The sequence below is a fragment of the Homo sapiens genome, chromosome 3, assembly GCF_000001405.40.
Source record: "Homo sapiens chromosome 3, GRCh38.p14 Primary Assembly".
NCBI lineage: Eukaryota > Metazoa > Chordata > Mammalia > Primates > Hominidae > Homo > Homo sapiens.
Genome location: NC_000003.12, coordinates 193,818,588 through 193,823,419, shown reverse-complemented (window position 1 = coordinate 193,823,419; position 4,832 = coordinate 193,818,588). Strand labels below are relative to the sequence as shown.

Sequence of the window (4,832 nt, the reverse complement as noted above, 5' to 3'; positions counted from 1 at the left end):
ATGCAGAGAGGAGCTCTGGCATTAGAAAGCAGTGGCCAAAGGCTGGATCCTGAGAGGCAACACTCATTACCGGGTTAGCAGAAGAGAGCGTTCCATGAAAGAGACTGCAACTCATCCCGGAGGCATGAGGAGAACCAGGAAAGGGCAGAACCACAGTCATTCAAAGCCAAGAGTTTTGTGGGGGTTTTTTTTTTTAATTCATTTGTTTTAGTAGGTGTTTCATGTATTAAAAGACTTTTCTAAACCAATTTACTGTGGCATAAATTACATGCCATAAAATTCATTCATTTGAAGCATATGGGTCACTGAGTTTTAGTGAATTTATACAGTCCTGTAACCACTACCACACTCAAGTTTTAAAACATTTTCATTGCCACAAAAATTTCCCTCACACCACTTTGCCGTTGATCCCTGATCCCAAGACCAGCCCCAGACAACCACAGATATGCTTTTATCATTAGAGTTTTGCCATTTTTAGAAATTTCATACAAATGGAATCATGTAGTCCTTTGTGTCTGCCTTCTTTCTTTTAACCTGTTTTTGAGATTTCTTCATGTTGTTGCCTGAATTTGTAACATATTTCTTTCTTCTGGAGCATAGTTTTTCACTGTATGAATAGACCACATTTTGTTTAACCATTCATCAACTGACAGACATTGCCATTGCTTCCATTTAGTGTTATGATGAATAATCCTGCAACGGATATTGACTTACAACTCTTTGGTAGGACACAGATTTTCATTTCTCTTGGGTGAATACCTAGGGGCAGAATTGCTGGGTTGCATGGCAAGCACGTGTTTACTTTTAAAGGAAAATGCCAAACTTTTGCAAAAAGGCTCTACCATTTTACCTTTCCACTAGCAACTTACAAGGATCCCAGTTTCTCTATGCCTTTATCAACACTCCATATTGTTTTGTTTTGTTTTTTAATTTTCCTAGCAGGCATATAATTAGATCTTATTGTGGTTTTAATTTTAATTTGTATTGCCCTAATACCAGTGGTGTTGAACATTTTTTATGTGCTTTTGGACTATTCATATATCTTCTTTGGTGAAACATTTGTTCATATCTTTTGCCAATCTTTTAATTGGGTAGTTTCTCTTGCTATTAAGTTATAAGGGTTCTTTATATATTCTTAATTCAAATCAGATAGTTTGCAAATATTTTCTCCCAATCCGTGACCTTTCATTTCCTGTCACTGAACAAATTTTTAAATTTCGATGAAGCCTAATGACTAAGTTTTTTTCTTTTATAATTTGTATTTTCTGCTTCCTAAGGAATCTGCTTAACCCAAAATTATTAAAAAAAAATTTCTTCACTTTCTCCTAGAAGTTTTATAGTTTTAGTCCTGTAATCCATTTTGAATTAATTTTTGTATATGGTATAAGGAAAGGGTCAAGAGTAATATCTTTTATAACTATTCAGTGATTTCAAGATCACTTATAAAAATAGACTATGTTTTTCCCTATTGAATTACCCTGGTATCTTTATCAAAATTATTTGACCATATAAAAGTAAGGATCTATTTCTAGACTCTCAATTCCACTCTATTGATTCATTGTTATCTAATACCACACTGTTAATTACTGAGTTTTATAGTAAGTCTTATAATCAGGTAGCATAAATTGTTAACTTGATTATTTAAAAAAATTGTTTTGTGTCACAGGACAAATAGATGTTTTTCCAAAGAAGATATACAAATGTCCAATAAGCACATTAAAGATGCTCAAATGTAACTAACCAGTAAAGAAATGCAAATCAGAACCTCACTGAGCTACCACCTCACACCCATTAGGATGGCTACTATCAAAAATAATCATAATAACATGTCAGTGAGGATATAGAGAAACTAGATCCCTTGTATACTGTTGGTGGAAAATTAAATGATGCAGCTACTTTGAAAAATAGTATGGTGTTTCCTCACGTATTAGAAATAGAATTACCATATGACTCAGCAATTCTACTTCTGCATATATACCCAAAAGAATCAAAGGGGCTGGAAGAGATATTTGTATACCCATGTACATAGCAGCATTATTCACAATAGCCAAAGGGTGGAGGCAACTCAAGTGTCCATCTACAAATGAAAAAACAAAATGTGGTATGTATACACATACATACATACATACATACACATACATACATACATACATACATACACACACAGTGGACTATAAAAAGAAGGAAATTTTGACACATACTACAATGTGGTTAAATATCGAGGTCATGTGAAATGAAGTAAGTCCATCACAAAAAGACAAATGTATAATTCCACTTATGTGAGGTAACTAGAGTTGTCATTTCCTTAGAGACAGAAATTAGAATGATGGTTGCCAGGAGTTGAGAGTCGAGGGGAATGGGAAGTTAAAGGATGTTGAATTTAGGCTGGGTGTGGTGGCTTACACCTATAATCCCAGTGCTTTGGGAGGCTGAGGTGGGTAGATCTCTGCAGATCTCTTGAGCCCAGGAGGCAGGCGGATTCCTTGAGCCCAGGAGACCAGCCTGGGCAACATGGCAAAACCCCGTCTCTACAAAAAAGTACAAAAATTAGCTGGGCATGATGGTGCATGCCTGTAGTCCCAGCTACTCAGGAGGCTGAGGTGGGAGGATTGCTTGAGCCCGGGAAGTGAATGTTGCAGTGAGCTGAGATCATGCCACTGCACTCCAGCCTGGGCAATAGAGTAAGACTCTGTCTCAAAAAATAAAATAAAATGAAGTTTATTAAACATAGTTTGGGAAGATGAGAAGTTCTGGAGATTCGCTGCAGGCCAATGATAATATACTTAACATTGCTAAACTGTAAGCTTAAAAATTATTAAGTTGGTAAATTTCGTGTGTATTTTACCACAATTAAAAAAAATTTTTTTAATTGTTCTGTTTAATCTAGGTTATTTGTCTTTTCAAATGAATTTTAGGATCAGCTTGTCAATTCCTACAAAAATGTCTACTGGGATTTTTATTGTGATTTCATTAAATATATAGATTAATTTAAAAATAATTACCATCTTTAATTAAAAACATTGAGACCTCCAAGCAATAACATGGCATATCTCTCTGTTTATTCAGGTATTCTTTAATTTCTCTCAGCAATATGTTGTAGTTTTCAGTGTATAAGTCTAAAATATCTTTTATTAAATTTATTCCTAAATATTTTTATGCTACTGTCAATGGAATTTCTGAAGTTTTATTTTTTGGGTTGTTCTTTGCCGGCATATAGGAATACAATTGATTTCTACATATTAACCTTATATTCTGAGACACTGTCGAATTCATTTATCAGTTCTAGTAGCTTTTTGAAAATTCCTTAGGATTTTCTACATATATGATCACATTGTTCACAAAAAAATGGTTTTATTTCTTCTGTTCCAAGGTGTATGCCTTGTTTTTTGCATGACTTATTAAACCGGCTAGGACCCCCATACCATGTTGAATAGAAGTGGCGAGACAGAATTTTTAAATGAGGTTATTTTACTCTGTGAGGATCCCAGGTGGTCTCTGACAGAGCAGTTCCAATAGAACTGCAGGGCAGAACCAGGCTGCTGCAGATGAATATGCGAGTGGGAACTGAGAGAATTACAGCTGCTGGGTGTTACCACTCATGAAGCTTGACTGAAGAAGGCAGGCAAATGGGTAAAGCACATTCCCTGTTCTCAAGAGGCCCGAGTATAAACAGGGAAGTTCTAGACATGCATTTCTTCAGCTCTGCTGCTGCCTTCCTCAGTCCAGCCACCTTCTCCCACCTGGAACTTCAACAGCCACTTACCTCCCCTTCCGGTTTCTATTCCCCCGTCCCATTTTCCAGTCCATTCTAACGAAAGTCAGAGAATACCTCTTAAAGTAAAAATCAGATTATATTACTCCTGCACTCAAAACTCGGCAACCATGGCCATCCAGGCACTGCGCGGCATGGCCCACCAGTCCCCCGTTCCTCGCTATGCCCCTGGCACACCATCTCGCCTCCTCTTCCTAGCAATTCTTTAGCCAGCTCAGGCTTTTTACAAAGCCTGGCTTCAGGGATTTAGGACAAAAATGTACCTGAGCAGAGATGCAGGTGCAGAGATGTGAATGCAGGTGCAGCCTGTCAACAGATGGGCTCATTTGAAAGAGAAGCCGAGTGAGGCTGGTCCAGGCTCCCCACGGGGATGAGGCTGCAGTACTTACCTGCCCATAGGGCTGTTTAGAGTGTAGATGCATTGCTTGAATGGCTATTTGGTCTCTAGTCTTCAGGTTAATGTGGTTTGTCTCACAGGCTCTCTACAACCTTGCACCTCGACGTGTGGTCTGTGGACCAGGAACATTGTCATCACCTGGAAGCTTCTTGGAAACGTAAAATCCTAGGCCACCTCCCAGACCGATGGAAGCCACATCGGCATTTTAACCAGACACCCTGGTGATTCCATGGTGCATTCTTATCCACATTAAATTTTGACACCCCATAAAAACTCACTCTTCTGAAGCAGAATTCACCTCTCTCTAGTAAAGAACTTTAATTTTTATAATGTGTCAATGAATGAAAATGTAAAACCTAGTAAGAGAAAATGGAAGGACTTGTTCATACAACTGGTAATTAAACAAATGGGAATGAAACTTGGCTAAGGAGAGGGGATGAAGAGGATTAAACTCATAAAAGCAAGTTGGGGGTTCAAATGAGATTTCCGGGAAGGCATCAGTTGAACTCTGCAGTGAATGGCCGACCTGTTTTCATTTGTTTAATAGCTGTTCTCATGGTTACTTCCGTCTCATAGATGCCCCATCCCTACAGTCATGCACATATTCGGTCAGTATGCTCAGCAAAAAACACCCCAGGACCAAAAAGCTTTATGGACATCAGG

The 4,832-nt window shown here is 38.0% G+C and overlaps 2 annotated features.

Moving 5' to 3' along the window:
• Nucleotides 3,361-3,988: an enhancer, noted in NCBI's record as "H3K4me1 hESC enhancer chr3:193537221-193537848 (GRCh37/hg19 assembly coordinates)". NCBI's record gives its function as "activates a minimal SCP1, AML or CMV promoter by ChIP-STARR-seq in primed H9 embryonic stem cells {active_cell/tissue: H9 hESC(primed)}" and the evidence as "EXISTENCE:reporter gene assay evidence [ECO:0000049][PMID:30033119]".
• Nucleotides 3,989-4,617: an enhancer, noted in NCBI's record as "H3K4me1 hESC enhancer chr3:193536592-193537220 (GRCh37/hg19 assembly coordinates)". NCBI's record gives its function as "activates a minimal SCP1, AML or CMV promoter by ChIP-STARR-seq in primed H9 embryonic stem cells {active_cell/tissue: H9 hESC(primed)}" and the evidence as "EXISTENCE:reporter gene assay evidence [ECO:0000049][PMID:30033119]".